The sequence below is a fragment of the Homo sapiens genome, chromosome 9 (assembly GCF_000001405.40).
Source record: "Homo sapiens chromosome 9, GRCh38.p14 Primary Assembly".
NCBI classification, from domain to species: domain Eukaryota; kingdom Metazoa; phylum Chordata; class Mammalia; order Primates; family Hominidae; genus Homo; species Homo sapiens.
In genome coordinates this window covers 108612710-108631605 of record NC_000009.12, presented here as the reverse complement: position 1 = coordinate 108631605, position 18896 = coordinate 108612710, and the positions used below count along the sequence as shown (strand labels likewise).

The following is an 18896-nucleotide window of genomic DNA, read 5'->3' as shown; positions in this document are numbered from 1 at the left end:
AAAATGAGGATAATAAAACTACCTATCCTCAAACAATTGTTATGAAGATGAGGATGATTATTATGAAGCACTTAGGATGGTGACTGGCACATATTAAGTAGTGTATTAGTCTATTCTCTTGCTGCTAATGAAAACATACCTGATCCTGGGTAATTTATAAAAGAAAGAGGTTTAATGGACTCATAGTTCCATATGGCTGGGGAGGCCTCACAATCATGATGGAAGGTGAAGGAAGAGCAAAGCCATGTCTTACATGATGGCAGGTAAGAGAGCGTGTTCAGGGGATCTCCCCTTTATAAAACCATCAGATCTCATGAGATGTATTCACTATCATGAGAACAGCACTGAAAAAACCCACCCCTATGATTCAATTACCTCCCACTGGGTCCCTCCCATGACCTGTGGGGATTATTACAATTCAAGGTGAGATTTGGGTGGGCATATAGAGCCAAACCATATCATTTTGTCACTGGCCCCTCCCAAATCTCATGTCCTCACATTTCAAAACCAATCATGCCTTCCCAAAAGTCCCCCAAAGTCCTAACTAATTTCGGTATTAACTCAAAAGCCCACAGTCCAAAGTGTCATGTGAGACAAGGCAGGTCCCTTCCACCTATGAGCCTGTAAAATCAAAAGCAAGTTAGTTTCTTTCTAGATACAATGGGGGTACAGGCATTGGTGAAATACACCTGTTCCAAATTGGAGAAATTGGCCAAAACAAAGGGGCTACAGGCCCCATGCAAGTCTGAAATCCAGTGGGGCAGTCAAATCTCCAAAATAATCTCCTTTGATTCCATGTCTCACATCCAGGTCACGCTGATGCAAAGGTGGGTTCTCATGGTCTTGAGTAGCTGCACCCCTGTGGCTTTGCAGGGTACAGCCTCCCTCCTGGCTGCTTTCACAGGCTGGTGTTGAGTGTCTGCAGCTTTTCCAGGTGCATGATGCAAGTTGTTGGTGAATTTATCATTCCGGGGTCTGGAGGATGGTGGCCTTCTTCTCACAACTCCACTAGGCAGTGCCCCAGTGGGGACTGTGTGTGGGGGCTCTGACCCCACATTTTCCTTCCACACTGCCTTTGCAGAGGTTCTCCATGAGGGCCCTGCCCCTGCAGCAAACTTCTGCCGAGACATCTAGGCATTTCTATACATCCTCTGAAATCTAGGCAGAGGTCCCCAAACCTCAATTATTGACTTCTGTGCACCTACAGGCTCAACACCACGTGGAAGGCTTGGGGCTTGCATCCTCTGCAGCCACAGCCCAAGCTGTGCCTTGGCCCATTTTAGCCATGGCTGGAACAGCTGGGATGCAGGGCACCAAGTCCTTAGGCTGCACAGACCAGGGGGCCTCTGGGCCTGGCTCATGACACCATTTTTACCTCCAGTGATGGGAGAGGCTCCCTCAAAGGTCTCTGACATGCCTTGGAGACATTTTCCCCATTGTTTTGGTGATTAATATTTGGCTCCTTGTTACTTATGCAAATTTCTGCAGCAGGCTTCAATTTCTCCACAGAAAATGGGTTTTTCGTTTCTATTCCATTGTCAGGCTGCAAATTTTCTGAACTAAATTTTATGCTCTGCTTCTCTTTTAAATATAAGTTCCAATTCCAAACCAAATCTTTGTTAGTACATAAAATTGAATGTTTTTAACAGCACCCAGTCACCTCTTGAATGCTTTGCTGCTTAGAAATTTCTTCCTCCAGATGCCCAAATTCATCTCTCTCAAGTTCAAAGTTCCACAGATCTCTAGGGCAGGGGCAAAATGCCTCCAGTGTCTTTGCTAAAGCATAACAAGAGTAACCTTTGCTCCAGTTCCCAACAAGTCCCTCTTCTCCATCTGAGACCACCTCAACCTGGACTTCGTTGTCCATATCAGTATCAGCATTTGGGTTAAAACTATTCAAGAAGTCTCTGGGAAGTTCCAAACTTTACCACATTTTCCTGTCTTCTTCTGAGCCCTCCAAACTGTTTCAACCTCTGCCTGTTACCCAGTTCTAAAGTCACTTCTACATTTCTGGGTATGTTTACAGCAGCACCCTACTCTACTGGTACCAGTTTACTGTGTTAGTTCATTCTCATGCTGCTAGTAAAGACATACCTGAGACTGGGTAATTTATAAAGGAAAGAGGTTTAATGGACTTACAGTTCCACATGGCTGGGGAGGCCTCACAATCATGCGAGAAAGCGAAGGAAAATCAAAGGCACATCTTACATGGTGGCAAGTAAGAAAGTATGTGCAGGGGAACTTCCTTTCATAAACCCATCAGTTCTCATGAGACTTATTCACTGTCATGAGAACAGCATGGGAAAGACCCACCCCCATGATTCAATTACCTCCCACCGGGTCCCTCCCATGATGCATAGGGATTATTACAGTTCAAGGTGAGAGTTGGTGGGGACACTGAGCCAAACCATATCAAGTGGCATATAAATGCTTGTTTAAAAGTGAACATAAACCTTTGTTTAGAAGAGAAAATGATCCAAGGGTCTGTGAAATTGTAATTATTTTATTCCAACCCTCTTTGTCTCTAATAATAGTATATTGTAGGGCCTCAGTATTTTATATCTTAGGGGATAATTTTATGGGCATTATATAATTTGATTTGTATAGTATCCTATGAGCTAGATCCTACTAGCTCATTTTTAAGCTAAAGATACAGTGAATCAGAGAGGCAACATGACTTAATCTCAAAATCTCACACATCTAGCATGTGACAAGAGCCTAGTGCATGTTCCTATCGGCATTATTGTTATCATTTTTTATAGCTCTTATTGTGTGACAAGAAGTGTGCTAGAACTTTTTTTAAAAAAAATTTAAACTCTAGCCCTCTTAATAATCCTATAAGTTCTCAATCTCGCAGGTGGCAAAAGTGAGGCTCAGAGGGATGAAATAACTTGCCTCAGGTCCCATAACTAATGAAGTGAGTTATCAGAACTCAAAACTAGGTCAGCTTGGGACCAAAACCCTTGTCTCTTCTGTTCCAACACACTAACTCTTGCTAACTTCTTCCAGAAGGAAAGATGGATTGTCAGCCTTCTGGCTACAAGGGCTTTGATAACAAGGATTGTATCTTTTCATGTTTATATTCCCTGGATCACAGAACTTGGCACCAAGTCCAAGGTCTGGCATGACAGACTGAAGCTTATCTCAATGGAACTGGTTTCTTGTTGTCCATTTCTCTTCTTTCCAGCTAGGTAAGGAGATGAGTGGCCAGCACCTTGACCTTGGCCCAGCTGCAGCTTGGTGCCTGTTCTCTATTGAATGTAGTTTCTAAAGTTGTTTGCTTTCTTCATTATTGGGTGTCATCAACTCTCACTTCCTTTGCATTTTGTTCTCTTTTGACAAACTGCTCCTCGTCCACAGCAGAACAAGGACTCAGTAATACATTGGTAATTGAACTGTTAATGAAAACAGGTTTTTATAAGATGGAAACCTCAGTTCTTGGGAATATTCAGAAGTGGGGTTGTAGAGAGCATGATGAATGGATTCAGCTGTGCTATCAATGATGAAAAAGAATTGTAGGGAGAAGTGAGAGGGACAATGTCTGGAGGAAAATGAGATTAAAATTTAAGGTAAACAATGCTTGTCCACTCAATAGACAAGTGGTACCTGGTACACAAGTGACTTAGGTGGATCATACCCAAATGTAGGGTCTAGTTCCACTACTCTTAATTATCCATCCAGATGAGGGTTCTGAGACTTAGATGTGGCATTGGCTAATCTACAGTCATAAAGCAAGTTGGTAGCAAGGCCAAGCTTAGGACCTGAGGTCTTAATTTTACTTCTAGGGCTTTTTTCATAGAAGATTTAGTAATTGATCGGCAGTAGGGGGATGAGGAGAAGAAAGCCCTGAGGATGACCTCCATGTTTTTGGCTTGATGCTTGGGGGAAGGAGGGAAAGAAGTAGGCCAGTGTGTTGTTTGACAAGTTTACTCATGATCACTAGTAAGGTATTAGTTTTCATTATCAGCTACTGGTGACCCCAGTGTGATGTTTAAATGGAGGCTTAGGGGATTTGTATTGTGATGGGCTGAGGGCTAAAGGGAATTGAGGCAGTCAAGACAACAGGTGCAGATTACTTTTTCAATACGTTTCAATGTAATTTCGATACATTTTGCAAGGGAAAAACTGGAAGGGGAACATAAGGTTTTTATTTATTTTCTTTTTTTTTTTTAAAGGATTTCCAATACTTGAGCTTGTTTGCAGGCTGAGGAGAAGAAGCCAGAGTGGAAGTAATTGATGACAGGAATGAGAGGGCATGGCTGATGGAACACAGTCCTGGAAAAAGACAGATGGGAAAGGATCAGGTCCATAGGGTGACAAGCTAGCTCTGGAAGTGAGGAAGGACATGTGAGGGAAGGAGATCAAAAGGAATGGGTGCTGTTTTATATATATATAATTTTTTTTTCTTTCTGTCAAGCTATTCTTTATTTCAGGGAGAGGGCAGGGGAAGGGGGCTCAGTCTTTCTTGGCAGCAGCTTTCCTCATGGCGGCCAGTACGTTGCTCAGCTCCTCCTGCTTCCTCTTGGCGCGGATGTGCATCCCCACCCTTTTCTTGATAAATTTGAGGGCCTGTTTGTCCTTGGAGACCTTCAGTAGCTCCATGGCACGCCGCTTGTACGGGGCAAAGCCACACACCTCCCGAATCATGTCCCACACGAACTTGGTGTGTTTGGTCAGACGCCTGCGGCGGCTGCTGTGCCTGGGTTTGCTCACGTTCTTGGTCACCTTGTGGCCCTTGAAGAGGCCCATGGCCATAGGGTAGCCTAGAGCCATGGTTGCTGCTCTCCAGAGGCGGCCGTGGCGGAAGGGCTGGTGCCGCGCTGAACTCTGGGATATCTACCGCTGTTATATTTAAGTTCAGAGGAGGAGGCACTAATGTTCAAAGTGTTTCATATTCTCTGTGAAGTAGGAAATGTTCATTGATAACATGGTTTGAACTTTAGTCAGCTTTGCATTGCTCATAGGGAAGTCCAGATCAACTAATACTTTCACATAAAAACAAAGGTAAATGAATAATGTGTGAACCAGACAAATGACCACTGATATTCGGAACTGAAGCATGAACAGAAGGAATAGTGCCTGCCTTTGCTAATTGTTTTGTCTCATTTGGTAACAGAAGCAGGCTGTTGACGTTCAGCCAGGCTGCTTATGGATATGTACACATAACTGGTGTTTGTACATGCTTGTTAAACCTACCAGAAAACTGCCCCCAGATCATTACCACTCCCTGATTGATCTTGGGCTCCTAATTAATCTAAATTACTATGGTGAATTCTGCTTGTCTTCCCATCCTCTGCTGAAATGTACCCACCACTCTGAGGTGGAGTGTGAGACCATGATAGATCCAAGAAACTCTCCTCCTGGGAAAAGTGAGGCTGATGGAGCTGGCGTGTCTAGGCTAGAATCTTTGCCTTCTCTGGTACTGAGAAGAGTGTGTACTGCCATGTGTACTCCCAGTTTCCCTCATCTGAGCTCTCTGCTCTGCTGTGCCATGATTTAAGCACATGATTTAAGATGTCCAGCCAGACTTAAAGTCCCTTCTGTAGAAGCTCATAAAGCCTGGGTGTTGCATTAGAAAGTGGTTCAGTTTGGAGACAGATGTGCCTGGGTTTAAGTCCTAGCTCCATCAGATTTTATCTGTGGAGCCTTATTGAACCTCTCTGGGTGTTAGTGTGCTTCTTAGTAAAAGGAGATGATAATTTCCCCATTGGTTACCTTTTTTTTTTTTTTTTTTTTTTAGCTAGAGTCTCACTCTGTCACCCAGGCTGGAGTGCAGTGGCACAATCTTGGCTCTCTGCAACCTCTGCCTCCCAGGTTCAAGTGATTCTCGTGCCTCAGCCTCCTGAGTAGCTGGGATTCCAGTCGTGCACCACCACATCTGGCTATTTTTTCTATTTTTTAGTAGAGACAGGGTTTTACCATGTTGGCCAGGCTGGTCTCGAACTCCTGGCCTTAAGTGATCCACCAACCTTGGCTTCCCAAAGTGCTGAAATTGCAGGCGTGAACCACTGTGCCTGGCCCCAGCCCCAGGGTACTTTGGTTACTTTGAAGATTCATTGAAAGGATTACCTAGGCCAATGAATATAAGAAGTGATATGTAAGATAAGGTGCTTTACTAAGAACCTTATCTTAGTAAAGGGAGGGAGCTATCAGTTATTAAATACCATTTGTTTGCAAGCACTGGATGCTTCACTTTCATGGTCATATTTCATCCTATGGAAAATCTCTGGGGTTAGTTATCACTATCCCCATGTTACAGATGATAAAACATATCCATGGGCTGGGCTTGTCCTATCATAGACAGAGTAACCAAGTATAGCTCATTTCAGATCACATATCATCCTTTTAGCCCATGACAGTCCTAGGTCACACCTATTGTCCCAGAGTAATCATTAATAAACTCTAATTTCACTCTCAAAAGTTTGGAATACAAATTATATGCTCACTTTTTGTAAGTGTGAGGGCCTGAGGCCAATTTAAAATCCTACATCTTTTCTTTTTCACCAGATCGGATCCTAAGTCTTTCTTAATCCGCAGGTGGAAGTGGAAGGAATTTCCTTGGTGCTTTTTTTTTGTGATGTTATATTTCTGCCCTGCAACAAAGGCTGCACTTTTCTGCCTCAAAAGCAAGCAAAAGACTCCCTGCTAACCTGGTAAGCCCTGACTGGGGTACTCTTAGCAAGGCCAGTTCATCTAGGAGAAGGGTCCAGAAATGAAGCTATAGGAGGAGAGAACCATGTGGTTATGTGTATGTCAGATCCATTCATTTATTCATTCACATATACGTTCATTTTTTCATTTATTAACTACTTCTTGCAAGGCCCAGTGAAGGGTACAAGAGCAGGAAAATAGGAAGATGAAAACCACACAGACCAGCCACCAAGAAGCTTACAGTCCAGAAGACAAATGCAATGAACAAGATGCAAGGTTGAAAATGCAGAGTTTAAGGGAGTAGTCAGGGAATGCCTAAGTGGGGTTCCGGGATGGGGAGACCACTTCCTCCTTAGGGTAAGTTGGGAAAGTTCTGTTTTTTTTTTTTTTTTTTTTTTTTTTAAATAGAAAGTAGCTTTTGCACTTGGAAGATGTGGTAGGATGTGAACTCACACAGAGCCTGGGAAAAGGCTGTCAGGCAGGTAGATCACCGTAAGTGAGGCAAGACATCTTAGAATCGGGTGCCAGGAACAGTTCAACTTTATTGAGATGAAGGTTATAAGAAAGAGGGTGGGGAGAAAATAGAAAACTTGGTTGGGTTAACCACTATGGAGGGCATGCATACTGGACTAAAGATGTTTAAATTTTAATCTATTTGCAATGGGTAGACATAGAAGAAAGGTTACTCGATTCATTAGTTATCTCCTTTTCTACTTTTTAATTCATAGTAGTAATGTGAAATGATCACATCTGGTAGTTGAGTGGACATGGACTGGATGGAGGGAGCCCAGAGGCATGGAAAGTGTTTTTGAGTTTTTGTCTAAATAAGAATATCCGTCTCCAGAAAGAAGGAAAAATTAATCCTAATTCGAATATTTTGCAAGGCAGTGCAATTTTTGTTGATGCATGCATGGATCATGCCATATTGGGCATGATGTGATTAAGTGCAATAGCCCCTGGGAAGATTTTAGTGGTGAGACCCAGGAAATATCACAAAGATGTAAATGGGAATTTGTTTCAATGTAGATTCTGAGTAGGAAGTGACTATTTCAGCCCAAAGGGGATTTAGTTCCAACATACCATCTGAAGCAGAGAGCACACTGATCAGGGCAGAGAGACGAAAGCTGATAAAGGGTTTGTGAATAATGTAACATTCTCAGGACAGTAAGACAGAGCTGTTGCTTCACCCAACCATTCTGATTAACAAGCAGAGCAGTGGTTCTCAAAAGTGTTGGATACCAACAGTAAAAACCTTTTGATAATAGTCCTAATGGCAACAATGTAGTCGGTTTCTCAAGAATCAATCAGCAGAAATAGAGCCTAACAGTACTTCTATGGGTCTGTTAATTAAAACAAGAGCATAGGCAACTAAGACCATAGTCAACCTAAGATCCCAATGACGAAGCTCTGCGAGCAATGCATTTTTTTCCCTAAAATTTGCTAGAATGCCAATCATCTGCGATTATATACACATAGTAAGAGCTTTGTGTCTTGTAGAAATAGCCAGATTTTTTGGGTAACCACTGAATTGATGAATTCAGTACATTTTAACAATGTGCTATTTTAAAAAATATTAATACCAAATTTAGCAATCTTTCATTGCTCAGTAGGTAACCAGTAACTAGTCTTTCATTGTACATGGACATGAAAAGCTATGAAATAGTTTAATATTTGCCAGTTAGAAACAGGTCATTGCTCATTAGGGATCACTAGAGCAAGACTTGCTGCCAGGATTCTTCACATCAAGTTGGAGGGAAGTGACATCTCCATAGAAATCAATTGATGAAGAATCAATCATTTGCTCAAAAGTATAAGCCAAGAGGAGACCTAGAAATGAAAGTCCTAACAATAAAAAGCACACATCCCAACTCAGATTGAATCACATGAGAGGCACAGTCAGATTAAGACACTAAAGAGCATCTGGACCTGCTGTGCATAGAGACTGTCCCTGCAGCCAGTGTGGGTGAAGGCTCCCTTAGTGGGAGTGCTTGGCTTGTCCCATCAAAGAGTAACCAAATGTAGCTCATTCCAGAGCGTGGGCTTGGCCATGCTCAACAAGTATCTTACCATCTCCCTAAAATTATAATGTAAAAAAATACAGAATAACTCTGCTCTTATAATGCAGTGGAAGGAAGCCCTCTTATCAGGTCAGATTGGGACCAATAGTTGGTTGGATTGTTGGAAAGTTGGTTAAAGTGGGGAAAAAGGGATACACACATACCATCAACATTTATCTTAATGTAGAGCACATACTTATCTATGACTTTGCCAATCTTTTGATGTTAGGCCAAAGCTTTTCTTTGGGTATGATTCACTGACTGTAGTCATTCTTCTTTCATAAACCGCAGCCATGATGTGCAATCTACAGTTCCAAGTTCTGCTTTCTTTAAAGTGGAATAAGAACTTCAAAACATCTATGAAGAAACTTGGGCACAGTATCTTAGTAGACTTTCATATTTTTTCAGACTTTCAATTATTTACAGTCATCTCATACCTATTTCCAAAGCATCTACATTGTGATTCATCCTTACTGAGTTTTTTCTAAGTATTCAAATTAATTTTGTAGCAGCAACGGTTTTTGCATTCATTTCACTGGATTCCATAATATTTAAATCATGTCATTGTAGCATAAGTACAATGGGCATGAACATATTTGGGTACCATTGCAGATGAATCTTATAAGCTGGTAACAGACTGACTGCTAGCTGCTGGTGGTTCTGCTGGCCACTCCTTCTGTTTGCTTTGGGTGTCCTCTTCCATATGTTTTACAGGAGTGAAGAGTGTGGTTAACTTAACAAGGAAGTTAAGTGGAGAGTTCTCAAGACAGGTTTTTGTACTTGATATGCTCCTCTGCGTAAAACCCTAAAGATTGTAATGCTGGGGTGGGAAACCCAGATGAGTTACTCCCTCTCTCCCTTACAGAATTCCTTGTAAATGGAAATTATTTCTGTCTGGGTGAGGGGCATGTTGTAAACATTTTGACTTTTAATTGCTAAATGGCATGTTTCTTGAGATCTTAAGATTTCTTTTGTATCCTTAGCTCCTAGCTGAGGGCTCTATAAAATTGTAGGTGCTCAATACGTGTTCATTTGATAACTGAATAAGCTCCTGCTTAAGGTAAAATTTCAAAGCTTTTTCTGTACATTTCAGAGATTGTAGCGAAGGTCTAACTACCTCCATGTTATAGGTGAAGTAACAGAGACTGAAGTGTCATGGGATTTGTTGGCATCATCAGGCAGGGACAGAGGAAATGGGAAGGCCTTCTGACTTGATTGCTGCACCAGTGTCCCTTGGCAGTGCTCTCTCAGTAGCGTAACTCTCAGGTGGCTTCCTCTAGGTTTGAGCTTGGCACCGTCAGTTACTAGCTATTGACTCTGGGAAGCAACATGCTATACAGCATCTCTGAGCTCACTTTATCTACATGTGAACTAGGGATAAAATACCTACCTTACAGAGTGTTGCAAGGATGAAATGGAATAGCACAGGCAAAGTGCTAAGCACACTGTCTTGGCTTAGAACAGACGCTCAGTGAAGGGTGATTTTTGTGGTCATTGTGACAGTGCTGGCCCACAAGGAAGGGACTTTAACAGTGATTATCAAGTGCCTTCCAAGAGACAGCAGCACTTCCGTGCATCACGGAACATTGACTGTTCCTCTCCATCCTTTTCCCAGGTCATTCCAGAGTAGCGCAGTTTTTGACTGAACCATGTAGAAATTTGCTTCAGTTCTACACAAAGATCTGGAACAGTACTTTATTTTTGAGCAGATGGAGCCTTTTTGGTACCTCCTGGCAAGTTGGTGTTGGTGTCTACCAGAAAAATAAGGTCACTCCTAACCTGGATGACTGGGTTGAAGTAGCTGTTTGGACTGAGTAAAGGGAGACTTCAACTGAATTAAACTTAACTTTCATATGATGTTTTTCTGAGGCTGTGTGAAAATAGAAACCAGGAATGTTTTGCAATGAGCAATACATGCATGGAGCTGAAGCAGGAAGTTAGTTTAAGACAATGGAAACACCAGCTTTCATTCCCATCCCTGGGAAAACAAACAAGCGACAGGCATATCAACCACCACTTAAAACTCTTAGAATGTACCCGAGAGAAATGTTTTGCCTATGGACAAAAGTCCAAATCCCTCAGAGCTATACATTGGGCCCTTTATGATTTGGCCCCAGCCTCACTCCTGTTCCTTTATTAAGCCTCTCTCCTCTTTCTGCCTCCTTCCCAAGCATCTGGTGCTTCAATCAAGCCAAACCACCAGGCTAAAAACCTACTGTGTACTTTTCAGGTGCTGTGGGGTTGTACAACTTGTGGCTCCTCCCCAAAAATCTCCTCCCCATTCTTCAACTGGTGAGCTCCTCTCACCCTTCAAATAAAGTCTTCACTCTGAAGTTTTTTTCTAAACACCTCCACCCTGCCCCTCAAACATTTCAATGAAAAGTTAGTAATCACACGATTGATAATTGATGGCTCATTGTGTATGCACTTACTATCATACTCACCATACTCTATTCTTTCTCTTCTTCTTCTTCCTCTCTTTCCTCTTTCTGCTTCTCTTTCTCTTCCTCCTCTTCTCCTCCTCCCCCTATCCTCTTTCCTTCTTATCTCCTCCTCCTTCTCCTCCTTTCCTCCTTCTCCATTTCCTTCCCCTCCTCCTCCTTTTCCTTCTTCCTTTTATTGTAGAACTGTGCTGCATGGTAGCCATCAGCCATATGTAGCTATTGGTGGCTCACGCCTGTAATCCCAACACTTTGGGAGGCTGAGGTGGGCAGATCACCAGGTTGACCAACATGGAGAAACCTGTCTCTACTAAAAATACAAAATTAGCCAGGTGTGGTGGTGTATGCCTGTAATCCCAGCTACTAGGGAGGCTGAGGCAGGAGAATTACTTGAACCCAGGAGGCGGAGGTTGTGGTGAGCCGAGATTGCACCACTGCACTCCAGCCTGGGCATTAAGAGCGGAACTCCATCTAAAAAAATATAGTAAATAAATAAATATATAAATATTAACTAACATTAAAGATTCAGTTTCTCAGCCACATTCCCAATGTTCAATAGCCAGCCATGGCCGGTGACTATCATGTTGGAAAAAGCAGACACAAGATATTTCTGTTATTCCACAGAGTTCCAGTGAATGAAGCCATGCTAGAGTATAAACCTCTTGAAGGCAAGGACCATGTGGAATTTACTTCTCCATCTGCAGAACTAGCAAAGTGTCTGGAGGTTAGTGAAAGCTCTAGAGAATGAATGAACACTAGGCCAGACTGTGAGTTTGCATTCCTAGTGTCTAGGCTTTTCAAGAAAAATGCTAACTTCCAATTCCCTTCTAACACCCAAAATATATCGCATCTATAAATTTCCAGGATGGAAGCAGAAAACAATAATAGTAATGCTTCTTAAATGCATTTTCCAAAAGTGGTAGAATCTTGAACAGAATAAGAGTGAAAGGAGGGGAAAATAGGGGCAGGTTTTTACCTTAGATGGATATCATTCATAATCCCACAACTGTTCTAAGAGGCTCATTTGTGCGGAGAAGCTTTTGAAATCCCAAAACCTTGTTTTGACAGTTGGTCACTGAGGTGGCTGAGTTTATCATTGCCAAAATTCTCATCATTTTTGAGGGAAGCGAAATATGCCTCCATTCCCTGAAGGAGGCCAAACATTAAATAGATTCATTGTAGGTTTTTGAGACAAGACCTTTAGAATCCTTTGCAGAGGTAGTGAGGTTAGGATCAATGCAGCATATGCTACCATTAAGCATCAGCTTCCATGTAACCCTACATCAGGCCATTTAAAAGTAGTGTTTCTCTTTTCTGAGATAATGCCAGAGTTATGAGGCTTAGAAAAGTCACATGACTTGTTGGCATCCTGTGGTGACTTACTCATTGACTCCAGTTGGAACTCAGGTCTTCTAACTCCAAGTCCAAGGCTCTTTGCTTCATACAAAAGCTTTCTGGCCGGGCGTGGTGGCTCACACCTGTAATCCCAGCACTTTGAGAGGCTGAGGCAGGCAGATCACGAGGTCGGGAGATCGAGAACATCCGGGCTAACATGGTGAAACCCCATCTCTACTAAAAATACAAAAAACTAGCCAGGGCATGGTAGTGCGTGCCTGTAGTCCCAGCTACTTGGAAGGCTGAGGCAGGAGAATCGCTTGAACTCGGGAGGCGGAGGTTGCAGTGAGCCTAGATCGTGCCATTGCACTCCAGCCTGGGTGACAGAGCAAGACTCCATCTCAAATAAATAAATAAATAAATAAATAAAGTTTTCTAAATTCATTGGAATCACCTGAAATCTCTTGTTAAAAGTAACCAGAATTACTGATCAGAATTACCAGATTTGGAGCCTAGGAATCTGTATTTTTACTAAGTGCCCAAGGTAGCTCAATATATATTAAATGTAATGTGTCAATGTCCTTTAGGATTAAAATCTCAGTATATATGCATTTTATGCATTTGAGCACAAATTGTCTTAGTATTTAATGACCTGGTTGGAATTTATAGTTGGATTTTGTTATTTTACACAGGTACAGAATCACAGACTTGAAGAATTGGGAGGGGTGTTGAGATCATTTATTGTCATTCACCTGACATGGGAATTATTATTACAGTACTCCTGGCAGAGGATTGAGTCACTGTTGCTTGATCAGTTCTGTTACCCTCTAGAGAGACTGCTTCCATTGCAAGGCAAAGCACTGCCTTCTCCTAAACTACAGTTTATCTGCTTATTGGTATGGCTAGGTCTTCTGGGATAACAGAAAATGTGATTTAGTGTATTAAGGAGATGGCTGTTAAGGCTAAGGGCTAGAGGAAACTCAGAGATCACATGGTCAGGTCCCCTCATCGTTCAGATAAAGAAGTGGATGTATAGTCTTCCAACATTGATTTAACAAATATTTATTATGCATTTACTCTTTGCCAAGCCCCATATCATGTGCTGGGGACAAAGAGGGATAAAAGTGGACATGGACTCTGCTGTCATGGAGGTTATAGCCTAGGAGGAAGTCAGACAGATACTGATTAACTAATCACAGAAATATGTCATTATCAACACACTGATAAGTGCTATGGTGAAAAACAAGACTGGAATGATGAGTAAGTCTAATATAGCCTATCTGATCTGGGGCTTAGGGAAGGTGTCCTCAAGGAAGCCATGCCTGAGATGGCTGAAAGGGTAAAGAATTGCTGAAGAGTTGACAAAGGGAGTTGTCTTAGTCCATTTGGTATTGCTATAAAGGAATACCTGAGGCTGGGTAATTTATAAAGAAAGGTGGTTTATTTAGCTCATGGTTCTGCTGGCTGGAAGGGTCAAGACTAGGCATCTGATGAGGGCCTCAGGCTGCTTCCCCTCATGGTGGAAGGCAAAGGGGAGCTGGTGTGTGTACAGATCACATGGAGAGAGAGAAAGCAAGAGAGAGGGGGGAGATGCCACGCTCCTTTTAACAACCAGTTCTCCTGGGGACTATTGTAGTGATAACTCATTCACCACCCTGCCCCATCCACAGGGAGAACATTATTTATGAGATCTGGCCCTGTGACCCAAACACCTCCCATTATGCCACACCCCCAACATTGGGGATCAACATGAGATTTGGAGGGGACAAACAACCAAACCACAGCAGAAGGCAAGAACCTTTCAGGCTGAGGAAGAACATGTGCAGAGGGTATAAGGAGAGAGGGAATTTGGAAACTGAAAGGCTGAAGATCAGGGAACCGTGAGGAGAGAGGTAGAATGAAACTGGAGTGGGGCAAAGGCCTTGTGTGCTGTCTTAAGGATTCGATCTTTATCCTGAGAATAAATAGGAAGCAATGATAAGCTTGTGTTTTAAAATTTCAATCTGGCTGTAGTGCAAATCTTGGGTGGGAGGCCAGTTAGAGTGGGTATAAGGACACCAGGGGTGAGTTAAGAATTAACTGCACAAGTTTAAGTGAGAGAAGAAGGTGGCTTGTTAGGGTTTTGATGATAGAAATGGAGAGGAATGGTCGAATTTGAAACGTACGCAGGAGGAAGAAGAAGTAACACTTGTGATGGGTAGGATATAGGCTGAGAGGATTTTAAGAAAGGAAGGGTCAAGAGATGCAGATGAAGAGGACAATGACTAGCCTAGGATCACAGAGCTGGCTAATTACAAGGCAGGACAAGCAGGCTGAGGCCAGTGATGCTAAGGCTGCTTTTTTTCTGTGGTTTAGGATGCTACAGTGTGAAGGAACTAGACTTTCAAAGCAGGAAGACTGGCATTGAACACTGGCTTTGCCACTGATAAGCTTTGTGATCTTGGGTAGTTTCCTTTACTTCTCTGAGGTGGGTATGAGGACGATAAACATCTCTTTCACAGGGGTCTCATGAGGAATTAAATAATGATGTTTTAAAGTAGTTAGCACCACGCCTAACACATACCAGACACCCAAATAGTAATTAGCTAAGGTTATTTTTTTTATTTTTTTTTTTTTGAGACGGAGTCTCGCTCTGTCGCCCAGGCCGGACTGCGGACTGCAGTGGCGCAATCTCGGCTCACTGCAAGCTCCGCTTCCCGGGTTCACGCCATTCTCCTGCCTCAGCCTCCCGAGTAGCTGGGACTACAGGCGCCCGCCACCGCGCCCGGCTAATTTTTTGTATTTTTAGTAGAGACGGGGTTTCACCTTGTTAGCCAGGATGGTCTCGATCTCCTGACCTCATGATCCACCCGCCTCGGCCTCCCAAAGTGCTGGGATTACAGGCGTGAGCCACCGCGCCCAGCCGGTTATTTTTAATATGACTAAGAGCTACTATGTCTTCCTTGAGTCTTCTTCAAGCCCACTTCCTTCACTTCTTTTTTTATGTTATGATTTTTAGAATCTTTCCACTTCTCCGGGTACTAATATAACATAGTCAGTGTATCCGATACTCTGTTAAGGTCTTGTTACACAATACTAAAAACCTTGTGGTGCTTACAACAAGTGGAGCAAATCCAGTGCCAAGGTGTATAACAGTTGGATGTCCGGTAGCCACTGTCCCTGCCTCCAGTGATTAGGAAAGGCTTCCTGAGCCGATGTTTAGCTCAGCCTGAAAGGATGAGTAGATATTTGTCAGGCGGAAAAGAGGCAAGAGATGGCAGTGATGGTGGTGGAGCATTTTATTAAGAAGGAACACAAAGTAGAAAAACATAAAGGTATGAGGAAGCTTCTTCTTTTCTGAGGATCTATGAGAAGTTTGGCATGACTGAAGTGGTGATTTCTCATGACTAAAGTGGCAGACTTTATCACTGGAAAGATAAGCTAGGGCTATAAAAAGATCTGTGGCTAAGCTGAAGATCTTGAACCATATTCTGTAGACAGTGAGGTGACATTGAAGATTTTTAAGCTGAGTGACATAATCATAATTCTTTGTAGAGTAGGTTTTTCGGGAGATTAGGTTTGTATTTTTTGCTCTACCAAGTCATTGCAAGTAATCACTCTTGAAGAGTTGTTGTTACAATTACTAGGAAAATATTGTTCAGAAGTAGCCTTTCTCACAAGGGTGTCTACAAAAGGAGATATAATCTGATCCTGTTTTTGAGTGTCTCAATGAAAAGATTGCCCAATCCCTTGGGGCTGATCTCTGGGGTAAAAAGGGGATGTGGTGGTTGGGGGCTCTGTGGTCGTTGGGTGCTGGGACTAGTACTGGACAGTGCACATGGATCTCAAGCAGTCAGTGGGGAGCATAGAGATGTGACCACACTTATGTGCATGTTTGTGGACAAGTACACACAGGTTACAACTACTTTACTAAGATCAGGATCACCTGCTTGTATTTCCCAGGAATCTAGGAAGAATAGAAGAGAGAATGTGGTCTTCAAACTGCCCATAGCATCTGAAACATGGGATATTTATTCCCATTTGATTTTCTCTCTTGAAACAATCTATTAGGCTAATATATAAAGAAGCATCTTGTTAATACAATGTTCTATGAGTGTTCCTTAGGTAGTTTTGTTTTCTGAGCAGCAGAATCTTGATCATAACCAGATTCAATATCTGTGTCCATTCAAGTATCTATATATAGTGATATTCAGAGGGGTGCTTTGTGAAGATGACTAAAAGATTTGTTGATGATAACCCTTAGCTCAATATAAGGACAATTCCTAAATATACAGTACAACCAATATATTTCAAAGAACCTAGAGGTTCCAAAACGCATTTAATTCTGCTTTGAAGTTCCTTAGAAGATCACTCTGGCTTCTTCTGGGTTTTCCTCCTTTATGTCCCAAGTTGGTTCGCGTCGCCTATTTTGGTCTGGATAATTTAGATTCTTAATCATTTTATCTTGTTAGCCTTGCATGTTCTCATGATGTTTGCTTGTGTCTTCTTGCTGTCAATTATTTTTTTCTTCGGTGGCTGGATTATCTCTGTGTTATGATCCCATGGAGGCTCAAAATGTCTTTGGTTGGAAATTACTCTTGCTGGCGTTGGAACTAAATATGAATTCCCCCATTTTTACCATACCTTGGCATTTCTTCCATAATATTTTAAGCATCTCCTAGACAATATGATCTTGGGATTGTTATTTTTGTATTATGTCACCCCAAATCTAGGGTGGAATACACTTTTGTTCATGTTTAGTATGATCTAGAGGTCTCATTGTGTTAGGTAAATTATTTTCTTGAATTGGGCATGATGGCACTTTCCACCCAACTCCCAGATGCAGCATTGCTGGAACTAGTTCTACTTCACCTGCCTCACCTGTGTGGGAACTTTGGGTCCTGCCATCTTCATCTTGGTCAATGAAATGTGATGTTCAAGCGTGTAAAGGAAGCCAAAGGGCAAACCATCTTGTTATTAGTCATCATTTCCTTTAATATATAAGACTTGAAGACTAAATAATGAGATTACTTAAGAAAATAAGAAAAAACAAAAGATCTAGGCCCTAAGTTGCCTTCAGGTGCATAAATACATGCATGTGACACACAAACCGGAGATACTTCTTTTATGGATAGTTGAACATTTGTATTTAAACAGAAATGATGATACTGACCTTTTTCTTTTAAAGAATAAAGTATATTCCATGGTAAAATGTAGTGCTTAAAATTTGTGAGAAACGGAATATTTCTCAGTACATCCAGAAAGAGTGTGAAGTTTTGTTTTGTTTTATTTATTTATTTATTTTTTGACAGAAAAGTTTTGAGAAATATCTGCTAAGGATGGTCAAACACCCATCATTGTTGTGAGTGATAGTCTGGAATCTTCTTTGCTCATTTCCAGCCTACTTTCTCTATGATCCAGTGTTCTTTAGCCTTAAACTCTTGCTATTTTTGAAAAAATGATCCTACTCTTGTATGTTTAGATTCGATGCTTATATATGGCCCATGATGATCAGGTTCACTTTATGAATTTGGGCATATATTTTCTCTCTAGGGTTTTTCCTCCTCTGCATTTCTGGTATAGCTTACCTTCCTCAATCAGTCCACCTGGAGCCTACTTTCTGAGCATCCAGTCCCAAGTGTAGGAGCAGGATAAGGGATTAAAAATAAGATTTAAGAAAGGGGAAAATCTGCAGACTGGGAGATTAGCAGATGAAACAAATTGAAGGGCCATTTGAAATAAGATGAAATGCAAAAATCTGAAAATATTGGTTAGCAATAACCCTCAGTTAACTGAAAGATCAATTAACCAGACTCTCCATTCCTCAAACATTTCCATTAACTTTGAAAAAAATTCTAAATGAAGTCATTAAAAAAAACAGAACAGATGGATGAGATCTGGAACTTCAAAAGAGGCAAAGTTTAATACAAGATTTTAATGGGACCCACCTGACAAAACAAAGACAGGACTCGAGCTTGTACTGTTGGAAATAAAGAGACAAAGAAATAGAGGCACACAGAACACTGTCTCTTGGACTGCAAGAACTCAAATTAACCTTTAATACAATTTATAAAGCACCAAAGCATGCAAAGGACCTAGAGGACCTGGTTGGAATTAAATTCTGATGTTGCTGACTTCAAAGGCACTCAGGCTGGAGACCCCAGCAAGACGAACTTCCCACAATAATACAGGAGGCATATTTCATGGCCAAGGATGCAACAAAAGAGTTCATTTCTATAGATCAGACAAGAAAAATGAAATATTTCTCTACATTAGAGAAGATAATTTTCTGAATTGTTTGCCTGGTCCTAAGCAGAACATCGAAACCCAGTGTTGGACTTGAGGGTCAGAGACCATAGGAAAAAGGTGATGTCATTACCAAAAGGCAGCAGCCAACCTACCTGGAATTTTATTGCCTTTTCTCACAGTTAGT

General features: G+C 41.8%; 1 pseudogene; it reads right to left on the bottom strand.

Moving 5' to 3' along the window:
- Window positions 4408-4808, bottom strand: RPL36P14 (ribosomal protein L36 pseudogene 14; annotated as a pseudogene).